This window comes from Homo sapiens, chromosome 13, assembly GCF_000001405.40.
Source record: "Homo sapiens chromosome 13, GRCh38.p14 Primary Assembly".
In the NCBI taxonomy this organism is placed as follows: Eukaryota; Metazoa; Chordata; class Mammalia; order Primates; family Hominidae; genus Homo; species Homo sapiens.
In genome coordinates this window covers 76,980,871-77,005,246 of record NC_000013.11, presented here as the reverse complement: position 1 = coordinate 77,005,246, position 24,376 = coordinate 76,980,871, and the positions used below count along the sequence as shown (strand labels likewise).

General features: G+C 41.2%; 1 protein-coding gene and 2 pseudogenes across 2 annotated transcripts, besides 4 other annotated features; 1 reads left to right on the top strand and 2 right to left on the bottom strand.

Annotated features, from left to right (window-relative positions):
- Nucleotides 1-129: 129 nt before the first annotated feature.
- CLN5 (CLN5 lysosomal BMP synthase) lies at nt 130-13,166 on the bottom strand. 2 transcript variants are annotated; one of them, NM_001366624.2, is made up of 5 exons: nt 12,976-13,166; nt 10,019-10,184; nt 9,120-9,345; nt 7,162-7,204; nt 130-4,789 (listed from the first exon to the last, which is right to left on the bottom strand). In NM_001366624.2, exons 1-4 carry the CDS (start codon nt 13,146-13,148, stop codon nt 7,176-7,178), a joined length of 594 nt encoding a protein of 197 aa, NP_001353553.1. In that variant the 5' UTR covers nt 13,149-13,166; the 3' UTR covers nt 130-4,789; nt 7,162-7,175. The 2 variants fall into 2 exon arrangements, with proteins under 2 accessions (NP_001353553.1, NP_006484.2); NM_006493.4 differs by lacking the exon at nt 7,162-7,204.
- Nucleotides 11,662-12,861: an enhancer, noted in NCBI's record as "BRD4-independent group 4 enhancer chr13:77566521-77567720 (GRCh37/hg19 assembly coordinates)". NCBI's record gives its function as "activates an origin of replication core promoter dependent on BRD2, P300/CBP, MED14 and CDK7 cofactors, and independent of BRD4, by STARR-seq in HCT116 cells {active_cell/tissue: HCT116}" and the evidence as "EXISTENCE:reporter gene assay evidence [ECO:0000049][PMID:35650434]".
- Nucleotides 12,883-13,122: a silencer, noted in NCBI's record as "silent region_5414". NCBI's record gives its function as "represses an Ori minimal core promoter by ATAC-STARR-seq in GM12878 lymphoblastoid cells {active_cell/tissue: GM12878}" and the evidence as "EXISTENCE:reporter gene assay evidence [ECO:0000049][PMID:35858748]".
- Nucleotides 13,583-13,652: a silencer, noted in NCBI's record as "silent region_5413". NCBI's record gives its function as "represses an Ori minimal core promoter by ATAC-STARR-seq in GM12878 lymphoblastoid cells {active_cell/tissue: GM12878}" and the evidence as "EXISTENCE:reporter gene assay evidence [ECO:0000049][PMID:35858748]".
- Nucleotides 13,743-13,832: a silencer, noted in NCBI's record as "silent region_5412". NCBI's record gives its function as "represses an Ori minimal core promoter by ATAC-STARR-seq in GM12878 lymphoblastoid cells {active_cell/tissue: GM12878}" and the evidence as "EXISTENCE:reporter gene assay evidence [ECO:0000049][PMID:35858748]".
- DHX9P1 (DEAH-box helicase 9 pseudogene 1) lies at nt 16,278-20,505 on the bottom strand (annotated as a pseudogene).
- RPL7P44 (ribosomal protein L7 pseudogene 44) lies at nt 23,311-24,135 on the top strand (annotated as a pseudogene).

Genomic DNA, 24,376 nt, shown 5'->3' with positions numbered 1-24,376 from the left:
TTTTAAAAACTACACAAACATTTGACTTTAAACTTAAAAATGTTTCAAATCCATATTTGATGGATATAATATTTAATATTAAACAATGTTTATGATAGACTCGCCTTTTTGAAGATACAAGGTTAGGCTCATGGAATCTATTCTTGAAATAAGCTCTGATGCCTAAAGAAATAGGAAATTTAAAACCTACCATGAAATATAAATTTTTAAATTTTTATACAGAAAATAATAGGTTCTTTCTGCATTCAGAATGAGAACTTATAAAACAGATTATTTAGACATAGAATCAGTCTTTAAGGGTCCTTGAACCCAACCAGTCTTTTTAGAGATAAATGTCTTTATATAAATTAGAATAGTTTTTCAACTATTGAAATTATTTTCATTGTTTTACTGGCTTTCAACTTATCTTGGTAATTTGGGCTGTTGTAACCATATCAGAAAAAATAGGTATGATTGAAGATTAAGTCAATTTAGTGCATTTTAAGAACTTTAGGCTGAAAGGAAGACGTTCATGTGAAGAAGGTTCAAGCCTCCACTAGGTCCTTTAAAATTTTTTTTTTTTACACTAGGTCCTTTAACACACTATAATTTCTACCCCACACATAGATAGTAATGAGCTTTGCACAGACTCCAACCCCAGTTTGTGGGGCTGGTTTTAATTTTACCAGGCAGGAAAATTCCAGCTGCTTGCTGACACCCAACTTTAAAAAGGGCACAAAGCCTTTTACTCCGAAAGTGAAGTAAGAGCTTATCCTTAGAATAATCAGTCCAATAAAAGGATAAATAATCCTAACTTGTTTTAAGTAGGAGACAAAATTTTGAAAGGAAGGTTTGAAGAGCAGGAAACCACTTGGATAATAAAGGGTAAATATGACGAAGATGCTGGAAACACTTTGGCCAGCCTGTTTGCCTTTGTGAACAGGGAAAAAGCATGTGTGTAGTTTTGGAACATCACTCTTTGTATAGCCTGCCAACTATTTAAAAAATAAAACATCTTACAGGAACTATAATTCCAGGTAATTCATTAAGTGCCACCACAGCAGACCATAAAACTGGATAAGACTTCCTAAGACTTGATTTTTTTCTCCAATTTTTAAGGAGCCACCAATATTGAGGGTTCCAAATAAAGTTAGTAGGTTTCTTCACTGTGTTTTCCTCTACATGCAACAATATATTAGATGACACTTTGTGGGTATACTTACTTAACTAATTTTGTGCCAGATTAATGAGGAGATATATTCACTCTAAAGCCCTAGTCAGACTAAAAATGTATAAATTTTATACATCTACAACATTTTTTTGAGACGGAGTCTCACTCTGTTGCCAGGCTGGAGTGCAGTGGTGCGATCTTGGCTCGTGGGAACCTCCACCTCCTGGATTCAAGTGATTCTCCTGCCTCAGCCTCCCAAGTAGCTGGGACTACAGGCATGCTCCACCACAACCAGCTAATTTTTGTATTTTCAGTAGAGACGGGGTTTCACCATGTTGGCCAGGCTGGTCTCGAACTCCTGACCTCAAGTGATCCGTCCACCTTGGCCTCCCAAAGTATGTGTTAGGATTACAGGCATAAGCCACCGCACCCAGCCTACATCTATAACAATAGCAAAATAGAAACTGCATTTAAGTTGTACTTAAGTTATAATTAAAGTAAATCACATTAAGTCATATTGCTCAAAGGGCAGCAAAACTTAATTGGCAGATTTCTGCGTGGCTATGTTTTGGTTTCTCAACTACTATTTTGAAAGCATGTTCTTGAATCATCTTCACCTGAAAGCTCTACATCTTGTAAGTAGAGCTGACAGGTTTAATTCTTAAGAAATACTTTTGTAAATGTTAATGCTGTCTGTGCTGTAGTTACCTGACTTTATGATGCTTTCTGTCTTCATTTAATTAAGATTCTTAGGAACAATGAAAAATCTTGAATGCTTTTTTTTTGAGACGGAGTCTCGCTCTGTCGCCCAGGCTGGAGTGCAGTGGCGCCATCTCAGCTCACTGCAACCTCTGCCTCCTGGGTTCAAGTGATTCTCCTGCCTTAGCCTCACGTGTAGCTGGGATTACAGGCATGGACCACCACCCCTAGCTTTTTTTTTTTTTTTTTAATTTTAGGAGAAACGGGGTTTCACCACATTGGCCAGGCTGGTCTTGAACTCCCGACCTTCAGTGATCCTTCCACCACCTCAGTTTCGCAAAGTGATAGGATTACAGGCGTAAGCCACTGTGCCTACTCAAAAATCTTGAATGCTTTTTTCACATAACTATTAGAATCTTGTTTAAAAGTTCCAGGTACAGATATCCTCATTTGTTTTCCCTGCATAACCAAGTTCTTTGATTTGCAGTTGACCAAAACTTGGTACAAGAATCTTTGTCTCTTCAAGGCAGTTCTGGAAATCCAAAATCCTGTAGTTTTTCCAGAGCAATTTCCTGAGTTTGGTAGAAGTTCGTGTTGCCTGAGTTTAGCCACTAGATGGTGATAATGCACAGATCCAAGTTTTCTTGTAACATTGTGAAAACAATTAGCAGGTTAAAGAGGCAGTATTAATTTGGAATATTTAGGCATTATTATAAGGAGTCGACAGGCTAAAGGAGGCGTGAAAGAAAGTTCTCCCTCTGTATTTGAGGAAGATATCTGGTGACTGGGTTATTTTCAGACTGTTGTGGGACTACAGTTGAAAAAAAAAAACCCAGCAAAAATGAATTCCTAGACAAAATAAGACCAAAGACACATAAAATACAAGCTCCAATTTTTTTAATTAGACCCAACAGAAACAAAAACACTCCAATAAATTGTTTATAAAAGCTTCCTGTCAGTATCTGTACTTATTTCCTCACAGACCAGTAACATCTGGTTGGCAGGCACTGGTCTGAGGACCACACTTCGGTGCTAAAAGCCTGTACTATAGTGCATCCAATTCAGTCAGCAGAACCGGGGTTCAAGACCTGACTTCATTACTACTAGCTGGATAGCCAGAGAAAGATCACTTAGCCTTTCTAAGGTCCACTTTACTCATTTGGATCAGGTTAATTATATCTATGATTAAGCTTTCTGTGAGAGCTCAATAATAATGTACTAACCTCTCAGGAAGTACTTGAAAGTTGAAACTGAATCACATAATTGGTACATTTACATATTAAACGTGAATTGTTTTATCTGATATCTACTCCATCTTCTTACTGAATGGTGTTTTCTCCTTGAATAGAAACGTGTTCAGTTGATCATCAAATACTTAAAGGACCTTGAAAGCTTGTCTGGCTCTAATTAAAGCACAGCTACTTGGTGATCTTAACAGAAACCTGTCCTCTCTCGGAGAAGTGCAACCTCTTCCACTGCGCTGACAGCTTTGTGGGAAGAGGGAGAACTACAGGAAACAATGAAGAAGTCAGAAGGTGCCTGTTTACCCAAACGTGTCTGCAGCCATGTTCCTGCATACCCCGGTTAGAAGAACCGCTGAAGCACTATGCTATCAGCTTAAAATCTAGGTGACTACAAAACCCTGGAAAGTTTGGCACATAAACTACATTAGGCAAGATCAAGGATGACATTTGTTCTTTGATTAATCATTATCACTGCCATTCAATGTGACCTGCCAAACATACACAACTTACATCTTTACAGCAATCCTAAATCCTAAGATTTAGTGATGTTAGTATGCTTAAAGAACACAAGCCAGTTACTAGCTAGTTCCAAAATCTCAGCCAGAAATATGTGTTAACACTGGATTTGCCACATCTAGAAGCACAATCACTCCAGTTATGGTGTCTAAACGAATGTCTAAAGTTAGGTGAATGGAATGTAATCAGACTATACTAAACTTGGTTCCAAAAGTTATAGAAGTTGTAAAGTTAGTCTAAACTAAAGCACTTAAGTGAAAAAGTGTAACTGCCATATCAGAAAGAAGAGCTCCCACCATGAAAATGTCACTGAATGTATTTTTTATTTTTGAAGGTATTTTTAAAATCTGGGCACACCATATCTATCTGTAGGACCCTGGGTCCAAAGGTCCTACATAACTGATATGAACCATAATTCTCCATATTAACAAAGGCTCGGAAATTGAAACCAAGATCACCTAACTCGCTCACTTTGGCCAATATAGTACGAATTTCAGCTTCTTTACAAGAGAAGAGTCCTGAGATGTTAATATGCAGCAATTCTGCTGATGTGCATTTTAACTTTATGCACCAAGGAAGAAAGGCTAAGGAATTCACAAAAGTAAAATCACCCCCTGAAAAACAGATGCTGGTGATTGGAGAAAAAAGAGCAGTAGAATTAAGGTGTTTTATAAACCAGAGAGTGTTTTGTTTCTGATAGGTAAAGGGATTTCTTCATATGTTATTTTAATAAAAGGGAATTTCATAGGTAAAAACCAATATTCAAAATTATAAAACAAATAGAACTGTTTGTGCACAATCACTGCATCAAAAATTTGCAAGAGACTCAACAGAAATTCTTTAGTTGGCAAATGTGGTTTGAAGGGGTAATAAAATCTTTTTATGGCTAAACCAAGAGTCTTGTTTCCTGTTGGCCCAAAAACAGATGTTTCATTTCCCAGATAAGTAGGTTCTCCACTGTAAAGAAATATTCTTGTATAGTTGGTTTCTATGTTCTTGAACTCTGCTCCAAATTCAGCCAACTTGTTAAAGGTCCTTAACACAAATTTGGAACAGTCGTAGGAATCAAACCATGTCTCTGCCCCCTTTTCTGGGCTGGCTTTTACATTCCATGTCTCATAATAAATTCCTGTTTCATTGTCCTGTTTCACCCACTTTGCCATTTGGTTGAACATGTTTCCTAGTTTAAAAAAACAAAACAAAGTCACCTAGTGAACAAAGCTAATCATGTTAATTTTTTTTTTTTTTTTTTTTAAGACAGGTCTCCCTCTGTTGCCGAGGCTAGAGTGCGGTGGTAACATCACAGCTCACTGCAGCCTTGACCTCCTGGGCTTAAGTGATCCTCCCACCTCGGCCTCCTGAGTAGCTGGGACTACAGGCGCTGGCCACCAAACCCAACTAATTTTTTAATTTTTCTTTTTTTTAATTTGAGACCAGCCTGGGCAACACGGGGTCTTGCTGTATTGCCCAGGCTGGTCTCAAATTCCCAACCTCAAGTGATCCTCCTGCTTCAGCATTCTAAAGCACTGGGATTATAGGTTTGAGCTACCATGGCTGGCCTAATCATATTAATTTTAAGTAAAATGTTCTAACTTGATTAAGACTGGATGCCTGAGTAAACAATGGTTTTGAATTTCCACACCTGCATTTCACAACAGGAATCCAAGCTCAGCCAATTTTATTCCATTCTTCAAGGCACAAGATATTTCTGAATTATAAACATTAGATATAATAGGTGTATAAGGAGAAGTCATCTTACATACTAATTCTATAATCATTTAAGCTATAGTCAAAGCGAAATTATACAAATGCAGAAGCTCTCTTTCTCTACCCAACTCACCAAATCTTGGATTCAGAGGCAAAAGAGAAAAGGAAAGCACAAAAAGAATTGCGAAAGAGGAAAAGCAGAATGGGCAAAGACAGTGTAAGGAAAATGGAGGTGTGGGAAATGTGGAGCTTCACTGTTGCAAAGCATGCTACACATAAAGTATGAATGGCTGCCTGAGGAGCCACTGCTCTAGAAGGCTGGCTATTACTGTTATGAGAACAAGCACCATACCCCATCCACCTTGTGTGTTTGGTACGTTTCTTTCTTCCCTGTACTTGGAGTTGCTGGGATGCTGCTGATGACCTCTCCACCTGCCACGTTAAGTCCTTCCAACAAATCAACTAAACTGGAAATGTTTTAGGCCGAGTTCATACTCCAGGATGGCTAACCCTCTCTTCTACCATCTTGTACTAGACCAGAAGAATCTTTCCAAATATTCAGAAAACACTACTCTGCATGGTTACAACTCTCATCTTGGGCATTTATAATGCCTAATAGAACTGGGCCCCAAACACTGCATCCTGTCACTGTGTGCAAACCTCTTTGGTTACTCCAACTTGAGTCCATAAAATAAATACTTCATGTTCTGTAAAATGAATAGAGTGACTGCCTTTATCAATTTTATGGAATTAAAATTGTAGAACAGAATAAAGCCTGTTGTATTAGAACTGGGGATACTGTTCTTAGCATTCTTCAACTTTCAAATGCCACCACTATCCTTATGAGACAAGAATGCTTCAAAACACTATTTTGTCAATCACAGGATTATTCACAAGGCAAATAAATGACTTAAAAGATTTAAGTACTGGCATATTTTGAACTATTTTACAAAAAATAGTGATCACTTATTCATATGATCATTGACTTTATGTCAGAAGGAAGGATTTTCAGATAACGATGTAGGTGGAAATGGGGAAAGGTGTGAACTGGCCTGGAATGAAAGAAAGAACCGCTAATGATGGACTTTTGTATTGTTGGTATGGTTTAAGGCACATTGATTAGAAAGTAGCAGGAAATATTAGAAAACAACATGGTGCATTCGGCTAACAGATCCTTGTTACATTTAAAAGACCTCAGTTTTATTCCTGATTCTGCTACATCCAGCTCTTTGACCTTGAGAGGCAAGTAAGTCATGTTACCTGGCTGAGCCTCAATTCCTTATTTGCAGAGAATGAGTATCTTATCCTCTCCACTGAACCGTGAGTTAACATACCTCCAAATCATTTGTAAAGAGCTATACAAATAGGAAGCATGATTACTTCCTCAAGTCCTGGGGTTCACTGAATAATTATTGTCACAACAGTGCTTTCATTTCAGATGTTTCTACTGTTCTGGGGAACAGCAATTTATAATGTAATGCTTCATAAATCATATGGACAAGCTCCTTACTTCTCAAATGCTATGGTATATTGTCTCCATTTTGCACATGAGGCAACGGGCCAATAAGATATAAAATGTGACCCAAGTCACATAAGGAGTTACCAATGAAAGGATTGCTGAACTCTTTTCATTACTAACCAACAATGCAGCACTTGCAACACAATTCCAACTTTCAGCAACTTTCCAATACATCCAAAAGAAGAAAAAAATCTCAAAGATAAAATATTTAAACTGCTCAAGAGGGTCTCAAATATAAGATCATATACATTTTGGGAGGCAATGTATCAAAGTAGTTAGGAGAATGGGCAATGGGGCGTAACTGCCAGGGTTGGAGTCCCACTTACTAAGCTGTGTAACTTTAACCTCTCTGTGCCTCAGTTTCTCCATCTGTAAAATAGGCAAAATAATAGTTACTACCTCCAGAAGTTGTGATGATGAATGATGTGATGTATGTACAGTACTCAGAACAGTGCCAGAACCAGTCTATATTAGTAGCTATTATTTTTCAACATAAAAATATCATCACTAAAATTTTTTTCAGATATAGTTAACATATCCTTTAATCAGGCATTTTATGGATTTCTCTTACTATTTCGTTTAGAAAGACCAATTTAATTGTACAAAATGTTTTATCATTTTATTCATTTTTATGATGGGAAAAGAGCATTTTTAGGGAAACATTCAAAGATCAGAGATAAGCTACTCATCACCAACAGGTGAAGTTCTGCATGAGTAATAGTTTGGGTCAGAGTTTAGTGGTTCCACCAAAAGCAAATGCAACAAAAACAAATATAAATAGATGAGACTTAATTAAACTAAAAAGCTTCTGCACAGCCAAAGGAACAATCAGCAGAGTAAATAGACAACCCACAGAGTGGGAGAAAATCTTTGCAATCTATACATCTGACAAAGGACTAATATCCAGAATCTACAAGGAACTCAAATCAGCAAGAAAAAAACAATCCCATCAAAAAGTGGGTTAACGGCCGGGAGTGGTGGCTCACACCTTTAATCCCAGCACTTTGGGAGGCCAAGGTGGGCAGATGACCTGAGGTCAGGAGTTTGAGACCAGCTGGCCAACATGGCGAAACCCCATCTCTACTAAAAATACAAAAATTAGCTTGGCATGGTGGCGGGCGCCTGTAATCCCAGCTACTTGGGACGCTAAGGCTGGAGAATCGCTTGAACCCAAGAGGTGGAGGTTGCAGCAAGCTGAGATTGTGTCATTGCACTCCAGCCTGAGCGACAAGAATAAAACTCCACCTCAAACAAACAAACAACAACAACAAAAAGGCGGGGTGGGGGTGGCTAAGGACACAAATAGACAATTCTCAGAAGATATACAAATGGCCAAGAAACATGAAAATGCTCAGGGAAATGCAATGATCAGGGAAATGCAAATCAAAACCACAATGTAATACCGCCTCACTCCTGCAAGAATGGCCATAATCAAAAAATAAAAAAAAATAGATATTGGCGGGATGTGGGGGAAAGGGAACACTTCTTCTCTGCTGCTAGGAATGTAAATTAGTACAACCACTATGGAAAACAGTGTGGAGATTCCTTAAAGAACTAAAAGTAGAACTGCCATTTGATCCAGCAATCCCAGTACTGGGTATCTACCCAAAGGAAGAGAACTCATTATACGCAAAAAATACTTTCCCATGCATGTTTATAGCAGCACAATTTGCAACTGCAAAAATATGGAACCAGCTCAAATGCCCATCAATCAATGAGTGGATAAAGAAAATGTGGTGTATATATACCAAGGAATAATACTACTCAGCCATAAAAAGGAATGAAATAATGGCATTTGCAGCAACCTGGAATAATGGTCTCCAATTCCATCCAAGTGAAGTAACTCTTCAGGAATAGAAAACCAAACATTGTGTATTCTCACTTGTAAGTGGGAGCTAAGCTATGAGGATGCAAAGGCATAAGAATGATTAACTTTGGGAAGTCGGGGAAAAGGGTCGGAGAGGGGTGAGGGATAAAAGACTATACATTGGGTACAGTGTACACTGCTCGGGTGATGGGTGCGCAAAAATCTCAGAAATCACCACTAAAGAACTTATTCATGTAACTTAACATAACCAGTTCCCCACAAACCTATTCAAATAAAATAAATAAAAAATACAAATAAGAGATGAAAAAAATTCCCAAAGTTTAATGGTTCCAAAAGTACATTTTACAAATGACCTCTAAGTAAAACATTACTGAAATGTTTCAATGGAAGTATAACAATTTCTTTCATTTGGTTTTTGATGCAATGATCAAATATTGCTATATTTTCACAACTTACCTGATATAGTTGCTACTTGAACTAATGTCCCATTTTCCTTCCAGTGAACATCATCAATTCCCTCAAAAAAGCAGGCAGCGCCTTGATTACACCAGAAAGGGGCATCCATTTCAGGTCGGAGATGGGGAAATGTACAGTTGCCAAGTTGGAAAAGTTCATACCATTCCATTGTGTAGTTCTTGCCAGTTAATGTACTTCTGAATCCAATGGCATCATGCATAATTTTCTGTGTAAAGACAGTACATGTATAAAAGCAACTGTGACACAACCATGGGTCCAGGTAACCTGATAGGAGAAAATGTGGCACATCACAAATGCATATCAAGTAGAACAACTGTTCAGCTGTTCTTCCATGCTGCTACTGTCATATCCACTCTGTGGCCCCAAACTCCAGGCCCTCATCCACCCCAGCTTTGGCCACTACACCCCTATTTGGCTCATCTCAAATAGGAGGCCTGCATGTTATGTGGACAAGCTGATAATTTCCTTAGAGCTTAGAATAAGTGTGAGGAGCCCCCATGCCAGTCTCTGGAAGCAGCTCTACAGACCTCACATGGTGATGGGTTAACCTGGAAAAGTGACTACAACAGAGTATGGAAATCAAGAGGTGTTACCTGCCTGCCCTGCCACTTCTGGGCCTCTTCTCACCTTCCAGGAGCTAGGTACAGGAGCTGGTTTCAGATTCATAATATTACAATGGATAATGGTGATTACATTTGTTGTTGTCAAGATTACAAAATCTGATAGTAACTATTTTTGACTACTCATTTTAAATGTACTAAGACAAACACCAACATGATCTAAAGTCAGCCATCTAAATAGTGATTACTCCTTAAAAATCAACTTAATAACCAAATCATTGAATTAACCAAAGTTATAAGACCAAGATGCATCCTTACCAAGTGTCCCAGGAGGTCTCCATATTTAAATTCCCATACTGGGGCTTGTAATCGAAAAACTTCAATGTCATCATCACCCTCCATAACTGGGATAGGTGAGCCAGTTGGACAGAAAGTATACTTAGCTTGACAATAAGGATCAGGTTTTGGACGGAAGTCAAAGCGCCTAATAAAGAAAAAGAAACCATCTACTTAGATTCTAAAATGAATCTGATTCTTCTCACGTCTTTTAGAATCCAGTAACATTTTTAGGGGACCATTCAAAGGTCGGACCATAGTTAATAAATATAAACACACATTTTGTTATCTTGTGAACAAACTTCCAATAATGTTTTTAATAGCAAATGATAAACTAAAAGCACTCTGATAAATACGGGCTTCCCTGTTCCCTGATCCCACTGTGAAAATTTTGAAGACAGGAATTTTGTCTTAAAATTTTTATAGCTCCAGATCATAGTAGACATTTGCAAATGTTTACAGAATAAATGAACATTTTTCCAATGTGTTCAATTTTACAAACAGTCCATACATTAAGATTATTCAGATAATTATGAGTAACAGAATACATTTTATATTTACTTACGAATTAACATTCATTCAACCAATATTTATTGAGGCTCCACTACATATATAGTGAACTATAGTAAGAAGGAGGGAAACAAAAATTAAAACACTGTTCCCTTTCTCATGGAACTGTGGGTGGGAGCTGGAAAGACACTGAACAAGTAATGAGTGTGGTATGTGCTAGACTAAAGGAATGAGTCCTATGGGCACACAGGAAGGACAAATCATTGTTAACCAGGTATGGGATGAATGGGGTGGGGAGGGCAAAGAAAGAGATGAAGGCCGGGCCTAGGTTTTTAATGTAGTTGATTAGAAGGTTAAGACAGAAAGGCAGAGGAAATGTTAAGTATTGTAAGACAAGCCTGGCACATTTGGTCTCCGGTAGGTACGGAAGACTGGATTTCAGGCCTCGACGCAGGAATGGAGACGGAAGAGACTGGCAGGGGCTGTCATTTTGTCACTAGGAGAATGTGCATGGAATTCCCTGCCTTATAATTGGGGAGGGCTAAACTTAAAGGATGTTAAGTAGCAGATCTGACAGGACTGAATTTGCTATAAAGTAAACCTTATTTCACGAATTAAAAGAGGGTATGGAGAGAGGCCAAATAAAACATGAGAGATCAGTTAGAAGGTGACCTCAACAATGCAGGCAAGAAAAGAAGACCGGAGAAGGCCACAGCAATAGGACTCGAGGGGCACTGCAGCTGAATTCAGCTCAACAGACACACTGGTCACCTATAATCTGGCACTGGGAAAGAAAGAAGTGGTGGCGACAACAGCTTCTATCTAAGAATCCTAGATCCCCAAGGTTGTAGCCAGATCTAACAAATCTTAACAAATCAACAAAAATTTCTATTTTAACTTAAGAAGTTAAAATCTTTATGCTAATCGAAACTATTAACGACGCTCCCAAAAGTTTCTGCTACTTGGGTACAGTGTTTTATAGGCACTTACCTGGTTTAAACAAATACATAATCACATGGAGATTTCACTGACACAGCAAAATCTATTTTAGTTCAAAGGTAATTTAAGTGTGAACTTAATAAACTTAAATATTATATTCAATTGAGGGAATTAGATGGGAGCACGTACTTAATATCTGAGACTTAAAAAAAAAATCCACTAAAAAGCCATAGTCAACACCTTGCCCTAATGTTAAATCAAATCGTTTGGATTTACAATTCTTGTTCTATTGAGTAATTTTGACTTCTTACAAACATTTTATTATTAACATTTTCCAGAAAACTAGCTTCAACCACAAACTTCTCTTTCCACGTAGTATATCACACAAAACAAAAAAGTGTTGTAAACATTTCAGTGAGCAGAATACACTATCTAGGTTTGACAACAGCTGGCATTTTACTAGATTTAATCCTTCCAGCAAACCTATGAGGTACGTGCTACCACTATTCCTATTTTTTGACTCAGGGCATGTGGGCACAGAGATTCTGAGTAACTTTCCCAAGATCCCTGGTGATGACAGAGCCAGATTTGACCCGCAGCAGGCAGAACTCCTTCCCACTCATACTGTCATACAAAATAGCTGTTTTTTTCAGGTTTGTTGTGTGCAGTTTTAGCTGTTGATTACTTATGCTAGTAAGTTAAAATTATGTCCAATGATGCTTTTGGTTTAAAGAAAAATAGCTGTTTTCAAAAACTGCTGGTCTTTCTCCTGCCTGATGTTGACACCATGTTTTCTTTCTCTGTGTTTAGCTATCTCTGACCGCCGGAGGCTGTGTCTTCTCTGTCAAAGGCTGGAATCGACCTCCCAGGTGTGCGGGCTCTGTCCCCGACTTAGGACCGGCGTCCTACCTCCAGGCTGAAGACTGGACAAAAGCGGTGACAATCTTCCCGGTCTAACCAGGACTGCAGGAGACGGGGATTCCCGGGATGCGCGACTTTTGAGGGCAAAACTGGGAAGTCCCAATAAGGACTTCGGATCAGGTTCTGATCAGGTTCAAACCAGAGCGAGTTGGTCGCCCAGTAAATTGTACCAAATGTTCCGCGGTAATAACTAACGACAGTGCATGATATAAATAAATGCGATAGACAGTGTTTTTAAACTACTCAAGAAATCAGCTACTTGTACCCAGAAGTCCCTCCATTAAATAACATTACTCTCCTTTTCTTCTTCCACGATTCAGGACTGTCCTGAGTCTGCCGCAAGTGACCAGAGGGGACGAAAGGTCCCAGGGCTGCACGTAACGAGCGGCTGCGACTCCCCAGTCCTCAACTTTGCTCTCAAGTGCGCTCCGAGCGTCACCCGGCGCTGTCCCCGCACCATCTCGTGACCCGACACAAACCACGGTGAGCAGGGGTCCCCGCCCCAGCACCCCATCCCCCATCGTCAACGCCGACCCCAACCCCGACAGTGCGCGCGCCGCCGCACTCACTTGTAGGGCACCGGCCAGTGGCGCCGGGAGGGGATGCCCGAGACCCGGGACCAGCCCGGAACCACCGCGAGCCAAAGCAGCGCCAGGGCCCAGCACCAGGAAGCGCGTCCCCGAGCCGCGCCCGCGCCCCGCCGCATCTCGGCGCCCTGTGCCGTGTCTACCTCCTGCGCCATCAGGCTGCACCCAGTACTTCCGGAGCCTCTCGAGGCCTGCGACGCCGGTGGGAGGAGCATGCGCGGAGCCGCCAGTCCGGGACGCGGGGCGCCTTGCCCCTGCGCGTCAGCTCCAGAGCTTGGCCCCAAGCGCAGGTTCCGGCGCATGACACCTCCCCGCGCCCGGCCCGCGGCGGCTTCCACACTTTGCAGTCCAGGAAGGTGCTTTGGTCTGGCTCCCAGGAGAATTCGATCCAGACCTGGGGCGTCATCTTTTATGAATTGACCTGTCCTTGCCCAAAAGCCACCACCAAAACCAAAAATCTGTCACCGGGGCTCCTCCCAACACCGAACTTTTACCCCATCCCACAGGGCCCACGCTAGGTGTCAACAAACGTTGAGTGAACGAGAATGTGTATTTGGAGCTGAGGGTGCAGGGCTGGGGGTGCAGTGAGGAAGAAGGGACAATAGTGCGGAAATGGCTCGTCGTCACCCGACCTGGGCCAGTCATAACAGTGGTTAACACTGACAATATGTGGTCCCTGCCACTCCCCAAGTGCTTAGTGGGGAAATGACTCGTCCTCACTCGACCTGGGCCAGTGATAACAGTGGTTAACACCGACAATATGTGGTCCCTGCCACTACCCGAGTGCTGCCGAATCTACCCCCTCCCCTACCGCTCCCCTCACAGGCAGGTGTTCCTTGCTTGGATCTGTCACTTCACTGGAAAGAAGTTTCTGCATCACCTTCTCTTCTTTGACTCTTCAACTAGGTCAAGAAAACAATGGCATCAATTACCCGGCTTTTGAGGAGCCTCTTGTGGCATGCTTTGCTGTTAGGCACAAATACTGACTTAAGTCTATACGTAGTACATTCAGGGCCTTGCCATAGTCACTTGTTTTTACCAGACAGCAGTTTTGCAGGGCCTTAGACCGGGACTTTCCAATTCCTTCACTTCACCCACAACTCGTGTGAAGCATCATAATGTTTGTAAGCCTATGGGAATAAGCAAGGTGGCTTCGGTAGCCGGAGATGACCACCACAATCCATTGGAGGATATGTAGCTTGTGGGGGTGTCACTGACTTCCTTGGGCCCTCCAGGTCTCTTGATTACATATGGGACTCAGTACCCTGCCCCAAACACACACTCCTTTGCCCACTTGCTGCTCCAGGTTTGGGGGTTTTGCGGAGGTTCAGGCTGGGCTGCATTTTACCATACGTTTGTCTAAGCGTTTTGATAGCTACCTAGCTCTCCTCCGTATACTATGGCCAAATTCAAAATTACCAAGGCTAAACTGGCTTCTTCAAAGACCTGCCCAAGATAAGAGGGGGAAGCATTCTAGCCCTGAGAGCTGAAATGTAATGTCTGATTTGAAGGGCACCTGAAGGATTCCGTGGCCCCACACTTGAGCCTAGCTTAAAAAGCAATCAGCAGGAACAGCTTTAAAAAAAAAAAAAAACATTGATTAGAGCATTTACAAATCCTGGAACCATACACAGTATGATGTATGAGGGCCACAGTAGATGGCCTCAACAACCAGAGCCTCCGTGGCTGCCTGGAGAGCGGTGATGCAGGCAGCAGCTTCATGAGATATTTGCAGTTTAATCCAGTCATCTGCAAGCACAATCTGCCCATCAGATTGGACTTTCTTGGAGGCAAAGAGAAGCAACTGCAGTGGGGTGACTAAAGTCATGCCTTTAGCAGAGATGGCTCGAGTTCAAATCTTTTCACCAAATACAAAGAAGGGAGATAGGTACTTCATGTCTTGGCTACTAAAAGGACAATTAACAGTAGATGGTTCCAGGTTCCATCTACTGTTAGTAGAGGGCCACAGTAGAACCTCCCATTCAGTTCAGGACTTCCCAGAGCTACAAAAACAAATTCAGGTTGACCTTGTTCAGTGGTGGAGGCCTCTGGTCTTGCTTCTGCCATCTGTCTCTTCATTCTGTGTGCAGGGAGCTTTCATGGTAAGAAAGCACTTCCTAGTATTGGTTTTTATTTTTTATTTTTTTGGAGACGGAGTCTCCTTCTGTCACCCAGCCTGGAGTGCAGTGATGTGATTTCGGCTCACTGCAACCTCCGCCTCCCGGGTTCAAGCAATTCTCCTGCCTCAGCCTCCCTAGTGGCTGGGTACAAGTGTGTGCCAGTTGTAATTTTTTTTTTTTTTTTTGGTAGAGACGAGGTTTCACCATGTTGGCCAGGCTGGTCTCGAACTCCTGACCTCAAGTAATCCACCTGCCTCGGCCTCCAAAAGTGCTGGGATTACAGGCTGTAGTCACCATGCCTGGCCCTAGTATTGGTCTTAACTCAGCCTCCTGGTAGCTCCCATTCTTCTGGTCTGGTTTTGCCTTGGATGGGAACACTGATTAAACCCCATTCTTTTTGTCTATGACCCCACACCCCAAGCTGAAGGTGCTCATAGATTATCGCTGGTCGATACTGGTTGCTTCCCCCTTGTCCATGGCTTTTAAATCTTGAGGGCCCACAGACAGAACTAATTTCAATCTAATTGGTTTCCCTTGGATCCTTGCCCATTCAGCCTAAGACTGCCTGGACCACATGGCATCTCCCCAGATAGAGTGATAGGATTCTGGGGAAGTGTGGAGTTGAGATGAAATTTAAATAAGCAGTATTTTGGTAGACTCAAAGCAAAACAAGGCTGTATGTCAATGATGGTAGTGGCTGCTCCAGACGGCCTGCTGCTGCCATCAACACACAGGCTCTAGGTCTAGACTGCAAAGTGGATGAAGGGCCTATTTCCTTGGAGACTATGAAGTTAAAATAGCGATGGAGTTTTGTGTCTGGAAACCCCTTATCAGAAGCTTGACATCTGGGTTGTAAATTGAGGCCAATTCTCTGTGTGGAATGACTGAGGTCCTTCAAGCAAAGGTGGGATATTTTATTGTTACTGATGTAATTTCAAACACGAAGTTGTCTCTAATCTATGATTTTAGAGAACAAAGTTTCTTAGTGAATAAGAAAGCAGGAAGCCAGGCAAGGTGGCATGTACCTGAAGTTCTAGCTACTCAGGAGGCTTGAACCCAGGACTTTGAGGCTATAGTGAGCTATAATCGTGCCTGTGAATAGCCACTGCACTTCAGCCTGGGTAACATAATGAGATACTGTCTCTAAGAAAAAATTTTTTTTTCGTGTAATACTTTATTTTCCATTGTATTAAATGAAAGCCAGGAAAATATCAAGTTATTTTTAAAGACAAATCTTTACTCCTTAAAGAAAAATACAAACTGTGGTATTTCTAAGATAGATCGTTACATTTTACATAATATAAACAAAATCACTAATGCATCTATATGCTTGGTTTCCTTAAGCTACAGTGAACCACAGAATGGGTTAAAATGCATTTACTTTTTGGTGGGAAATAAACATTGGAAAAAAATGTCACACATAGCATGGCTTTTTTTTTCTTACTGTCTACACACAGGAACTGACATAACCAAGCCTTAACAGATGCCACCTTCTCTTCCTTGTCCAAAGTAGCCAGTTCCATAGGCCCCCCTACCACCTCCTCGCTGGAATCCCCCAGATCATCTGTAGCCTCTACTAGGCCCTCTGTAATCTCCTCCAGAGTTGCCTCTATAGCCACCTCAGGAAACTTCTCTATAGCCTCCACCAACACCTGCACCATATCCTGCCCGACAGGAGCTGGAGCTGCCACCATAGCCTCCGCTACGATAGCCTCCACTGCTATAGCCACTGCCATAGCCTTCACTGCCATAACTAGAACCTCCCCTTCTATATCCGCTTCCATTGTCATATTGGGCCATCTTAGGAGGACCTGGACCATCTCCATACCATGTACTGCCAATCATAAGGTTGATATCAGCAGCTGAGGGTCTAGAGATTTGACGGATCATGTTCAGTATACTTTCATTTACGGGGTCCAACTGGCTGATGATAGCAGGTTGTTTGGTTACTTCAACAACCAGAGCCTCAGTGGCTGCCTGGAGAGCGGTGATGCAGGCAGCAGCTTCATGAGATATTTGCAGTTTAATCCAGTCATCTGCAAGCACAATCTGCCCATCAGATTGGACTTTCTTGGAGGCAAAGAGAAGCAACTGTAGTGGGGTGACTAAAGTCATGCCTTTAGCAGAGATGGCTCGAGTTCGAATCTTTTCACCAAATGCAAAGAAGGGAGATGGGTACTTCATGTCTTGGCTACTAAAAGGACAATTAACAGATGATTTGTGGATAAGTGCATTACACCCTTCAGTGGTGAGAATCTTTGTCTTTTCCTTATGATAGCATACATTGGGGTACACACCAAAGGCCAGGAAGAGAGATAACAACATCCAAATTATTATCTGGTCCAGTGTTAGTAAACACTTGTGTCACCAAACAATCTTCTGGAAACCCAGAATTAATCAGAATCTCTTTGAGCTGAACTTTGACTTCCCAAGTCATTCTTAGTGTAGCCATATGAAGTCTTTTGTGCGCACAAAAACGTATTTCTGCTTCTTCTCCACCCATTCTAGTATCATCTCCGGCTTGGAATACTGATAAAAGGGCTACATGATGAGAAAATCCGTTTCCAGCAAAATTTCAATGGTTGTAGCCCAGCCACTTTCCTTCATTTATAAAAGGCTCTGGAAAGCAGGTAGCAGCAGGAATGGTACAGATAGCATCTCCCACATAGAAAATACACACCATTATCATCATTTTGCCAAAACGAGGCTCAATGAGGAGGTTAGCCAGGATTCGTCCCAATGGAGTCAAATCATCATTGGCATCTAATGCATCAAGCTCTCTAAGAGTGTGTTCTGCTTCAATCACAGCATCCAAAGGGAGAGTTTCAATTGCTTTGGCCAGAAACTGGCCAATTCCAACTAGACATGGAAGTTTTATGCTAAGAGCAACTTCATGCAATGGTGTTTGGAACATCTCTGGTGTCATGTGGGTTTCAAGTCTCTCAAAACGAGCTCGGCTGCAGAGGTGAAAGCAGAATCCAGGCCGTATTCGGCCAGGTTGCCCTTTCCACTGTTCAAGGTTTGTTTTTGATCCCCATACTGTAGCATAGTTGGTCATATTGTTGTGAGTAGCAAAGAGTTTCACTTTCTGCTTGCAGGAGTCAACGACATAAACATCATTTATGATAATGCTTGTTTCAGCAATATTTGTGGACAAAATAACCTTGGTTACTCCAACTGGTACTGGATCAAACACTTTGCGCTGTTCCTGTCAAGGAATCTGAGAATGCAGAGGTAGAATCTGATACTGATGGCTTCCAAAATGTGGATTCATTTCCAAATGCTTCTGCATAGTATAAATCAAATTCCAGCCAGGCAAAAATACCAACACAGCTCTGGGAATATTAAGGGTTTCAATGTACTTAAAGAGAGCTTCGACGAGTTCAAAAGGAGTTTCTTTTTCATTCAATTGAGACATGCTCATCCTTGTTTCTGGACCATATTCATCACCACAGATCAAGTTGCAATTTGCATCATCATCCTCACCACCATCATCATCCTTGTCCTTCTTCTTGGTTTTCGGTGAAGGAACAAAGTGGGTCATCTGAATGCAGTCTTCCAGAAAATATTCTTGAACTGGGTAAGTCCTCCCATACACTTAAATGATGGGGCAATTGAAGAAATATTCACACAACATGCTGGTATCAATAGAAGTGGACATAAGAACAATGAGAACTTCAGGGTAAGCTGAAACAACTTCACGCAGTACTACCAAAAGGAAGTCAGTATTAATGTCTCTTCCATGTATTTCATCTACAATTACATGACTGATTCCTCAAATGCCTGCTTCTAATTTTCTTAGGAGCACACCTACAGTACAAAGCATTATACTGGCATGAGGACAAGGAAGTACAGACTCAAATTGAACACTGTAACCACAGCTTTTTACAGACTCTTCTCCTCTCTCAAATGCAACTCACTCTGCCATGGAAACTACACTGATTCTTCTGGGCTGAGTTACTACAATGTTACACTCTGCTGTCAGTCATTCTGGATAAAGTCATCTAGAATGAACTGGGGAACCTGCGTGGTTTTACCACATCCAGCAGCCCCTCTAATAATGACAACTGAATTTTGACTGATTGCTTCCAGAATCTCACTTTCAAATTTCTTCACAGGCAGTAACTCTCGCTCCTGCAAGATTGCTGGCAAATCATGATCCTGTTCCAACTGGTACACCAATTCATTCTTGAGGTCCAAGCTTATTTGCTCTGGAGAAGCAAAAGCCAGAGGTCCCTCAGCAATGTCGCTAGTAGTCCAAGGATTCCATCTGGATTGTGGAGGTGACCGAGGAACTATACCCACTTGGTTTTGTCACTGAGATGGTTCAAAGTGAGCCAATTTGCCAATGTTGAGTGCAACTGGCATAGAAGGATCTTCAGGCGGGGGCATAATCTCAAAATTTAGCTCTCAAATGATGTTTTGTGGCTGATGCTCTAAATCTTGAGAGAGGTTTACTTTGTAAGGTTCCACTCTCTCTCCTTCCTTCTTTGTAAGTCTGAAGTAAGCTTCAACCACTCCAAGATGGTAGAGTTGTCTGACTAGTGACAGGGCACAGGACTGTGCTGCCAATTTCTTATTTGATCCATGTTCATGTGCAGAAATCCTTCTGCCCAGCTGCTTGATGTAAATGGTTATTTCTGCAGTAAAGCTCCTGTTGTGATCAGGACCCACTTGGGTGTACTTATATTCTCCTTGGATTTTTTCTTTCTGAAAATATTGGTTTAGATGAGTTTTAGCATTTTCCAAGGTCCAGTTTCCATGAAGCCCAGCATTTAAATCCACTTCTTCTGACTCTAGAGTCGCTTGCACTTCTTGTTCTTCCTTTCTTGAGTAGTAATCCTTCAAGTTGGCTCCTTGGTCCCAGGAACACCATAGCCAGAGGCCCCTACCTCAGAATTATTTTCAGCTTTGAGAGCCAGATGTGGCGGAAGAGGACCTCCCATGGTTGTTGGTAAACCTCCTTCAGCATTTGCTGTAGTGTCAGGAATATCAGTAAGTGGGGGCAGAGATGCAACCCCAAAAAGCTGGAACTTCTTCACTCTTCATTTATTTGAACCAAATAGTTAACAAAGTCTCTGGCAGCATTGCTCTGTGCATCTTTTTTATTGGTGGAATTTCCTATGCCACTGTAATTATACCCTTCCACCTGAACCTCACACAAGAATTTCTGCCTACTTTTGTTCCCCAATGCTCTAATTTCATAGGATGGAGTCATCTTCCTTTTGCCTCACCAGGCATACAGAAAATTTTTAATATCACCCATGATTGAAGTGTCTTCTTCAGATCAGCCTATGCTTCCTGGTTCCCAGCTCTTAGGACCGTGTGGCTCTGGCCTTCCACAAAGACAACAGAGACACGCACAACAACTTCCATAAAGGACTTGGCAAAAAAAAAAAAATTAAGTAGAAAAGAAAGGAGGTTGTTATGACACTTTATGATTTACTGTGGTTTGAGAGAAGTACTGTTTTCTGGTAATTTTGAGGCTGGTTTTATCAGTCCAGGCTAATGAATACGAGGGCAGATTAAAGTCCAAGCTAATTTTTAGTTTCTCATTTACAATCTCATTTTTTATTTTAGGCGTTAAAAGCATTATTCTGAGAAGGGGCTTCACCAGTTTGCCTAAGAGCTCCGGCCCTAGACACACTAATTTCCTACTCCTTTTTTTCTTTTTGAGACAGGGTCTCACTTTGCCACCCAGGCTGGAGTGCAGTAGTGCAATCACAGTCACTGCAGCCATAGCCTCCTAGCTCAAGTGATCCTCCCATCTCTCAGCCCCTATAGTAGCTGGACTACAGGAATGTACCAACATGCCCAAATAATTTTAAATTTTTTGTAGTGATAAGGAGTCTCACTACGTTCCCAAGCTGGTCTCGAATTCCTGGGCTCAAGCGATCCTCCTGCTTTGGCCTCCCAAAGTGCTGGAATTAAAGGCATGAGCCACAGAGCCTGGCCCTGACACAAATATTCATGTAAGAGGTTAAGAAAATCTTAAAGGTAACCAAAAATTAATGAACCCCCAAAGTGTTTCTGAAACTTGGGTATACTAACCTGTTGTTTACATGATAAACTGGGCTAAACAAATACATCAACTATACGTACATCCTATTTTCAGAGTTTCGACAATTTCACTTGCCTAAAGCATCATTTATTTTAGTTCAAAGATAATTTTATTTTCATTTTTATTTTGAGACAGGGTCTCGCTCTGTTGTCCAGGTTAGAGTGCAGTGGCATGATCATGACTCACTGCAGCCTTGACCTCTCAGGCTCAAGCGATCCTCCCACCTCACTTCCTGAGTAGCTGGGACTACAGGCCTGTGCTACCATGCCTGGCTAATTAAATAAAATGTTTTTGGTAGAGTCAGAGTCTCACTTTGTTGCCCATGCTCCTGGGCTCAAGTAATCCTCTTGCCTCAGCCTCCCACAGTGTTGGAATTATAGTCGTGAGCCACTGTGCCCGACCCAAAGATAATTTTAAAAGCATCATTTAAGTGTGAATTTAATAAAATTAAAATTTATAATATTCACTGAAGGCAGAGATTAGAGTGAGACATCTACTTAATAGGTAATACTTAAAAACAAACTGTGGAGCCATAAGGAACACCTTACCCTAATCCTAAATCAAGTGATTTGGATTTATTTTGCTTATTACATTACATTGTTTAGACAATTCTTTAATCTTGTACTTGTTTATTGAATATATTTTTTAGTTCTGTTATGATCGATTTATCAATAGCCGCAAGAAAATTGGCTTCAGAACAAAAACTCTTTTCTTTGTGTTGTTAAATAAAATGTATGAGAGGCCATGGTTTTGAACTGAGCCCCTGCATTAGGTCGCAACAGATTGAACCAAAATGGGGTCGCTCGTGCTAAGTAATCGAACTGTAATCAAACTGAAACGTAAACGGGAAAATTCCCAAAATAGACTGGCTTTTCGTAAAAACAAGAGATTCACAGCAAGCAATCAGAAAGGGCCCAGTCAGCCTAAGTCAGCATGTTAAGGAAGTCCTCTCTGCTTTAACCCTTTATAAGTAAAGTAACCTGAAGTAAACTGATGTTAACCAATTCACTTTTTGTATTCCTGTTTCCCTATTTCTGTTCAAGCTACCTTAGGAAAACCAACTGGTCTGCCAGGCTCATTGAAGCTCCCTCTATTTTGATTAGCAACTGCCTGTTTTATGAGTCACTAATAAAAGCCAATTAGACATTTTAATCAATTTTGTTGATTTTTTTTTTCTTTTTTTGAGACAGAGTCTTGCTCTGTAGGCCAGGCTGGAGTGTAGTGATGCAATCTCGGCTCACTGCAACCTCTGCCTCCCTGCCTCAGCTTCCCGAGTAGCTGGGATTACAGGCATGTGCCACCAGGCCCACATAATTTTTGTAGTTTTAGTAGAGACGGGGTTTCGCCACATTAGCCAGGCTGGTCTGAAACTCCTGGCCTCAGGTGATCTGCCTGCCTCTACCTCCCAAAGTGCTGGGATTACAGGCGTGAGCCACCGGGCCCAGTCAAATTTTTTTTTTTTTTAATCAACGTATATCAAGGAAACTAAAGGGGTACAAACCATTCAGTGAACAGAAATACACTAGTATCAAGGTTTTGACAGAGATGACATTTACTATTTTTAATCTTTCCAACAACTCTATGAAAAAGGTGCTACTTCCTACTTTCAGCCTGAGGAAACGTTGGTACAGATATTTTGAGTAATTTCTCGGGATCACATAAGGCAGTGAGGGTGGAGTCAGGTTTGATCTTGGGCACTCAGACCTACACTAAGTTATCCTGCTTTTCAAATTCACTCCTTGTCCTCCTTTTCCTCCTCATCTGCAGTGATGACGGATGCATGTGTGTTTTCCACAAGCAGTTGCTCTTTGCCCTGTCTGGTGTCACACCACGTTTACATCCTCTTTCTAAATCTAGGCATCGTTGACAGTAAATATCCTACTGGGTCAAGAGCTAGAATCACCCTCGGGGATTTACAGTACTCCATCTGTCACTTATGAGCAGCAATCTACCTCCAGGTTAAGAAAGGTAGGTTTCTTCTTGAAAGTAAATGCAGGGTTTATTCAGCACCCAGGACATAAAGGCTTAGTGAATTTTTATCAGAGGAACATGGGACTAATAATTTAAAGATCCAGTAGGGAAAGTAATGTTTGCTGGATATTGCAGATTTCATCTTTTAATAATAAAGGAATAGTTCCTCTTTTCCCGCTGGAACCATGGAGAGTGTCAAAGAGAAGAAGAAAAAGTTTCCTGCTGTACCAGAAACCCTTAAGAAAAAGCGAAGAAATTTCACAGAGCTGAAGATCAAATGCCTGAGAAAGAAGTTTGCCCAAAAGATGCTTCGAAAGGCAAGGAGGAAGCTTATCTATGAAAAAGCGAAGCACTATCACAAGGAATATAGACAGATATACGGAACTTAAATTTGAATGGCAAGGATGGCAAGCAAAGCCGGCAACTTCTATGTACCTGCAGAACCCAAATTGGCATTTGTCATCAGGATCAGAGGTATCAGTGGTGTGAGCCCAAAGGTCCGAAAGGTGTTGCAGCTTCTTCGCCTTCGTCAAATCTTCAGTGGAAACTTTGTGAAGCTTAACAAGGTTTCAATTAACATGCTGGGGATTGTAGAACCATATATTGCAGGGGGTACCCAAATCTGAAGTCAGTAAATAAACTAATCTACAAGCGGGGTTATGGCAAAATCAATAAGAAGCGAATTGCTTTGACAGATAACGCTTTGATTGCTCGAACGCTTGGTAAATATGGCATCATCTGCACGGAAGATCTGATTCATGAGATCTATACTGTTGGAAAATGCTTCGAAGAAGCAAATAACTTCCTGTGGTCCTTCAAATTATCTTCTCCATGAGGTGGAAAGAAGAAAAAGACCACCCATTTTGTAGAAGGTGGAGATGCTGGCAACAGGGAGGACCAGATCAACAGCTTATTAGAATAATGAACTAAGGTGTCTACCATGATTATTTTTCTAAGCTGGTCAGTTAATAAACAGTACCTGCTCTCAAAAAAACAAAGAATAACTTTTCTTCAAATATCTGGTCAATGAATGATATTGTACAGAAGAAACTCAGGGAGCATCCTACCTGAAATTTTATTAACAAGTAACTTTTATTTAAAAATTATCAAATAAAATGCAAATTATCTGCATTTTTCCTATTTATTTCCTGTGATCATATAAGAAAATTAGGCAACACATATGGCGTTTTGGACTTTCTAAGAACTTGCTAAGTTTGTGAGACAAAATGTC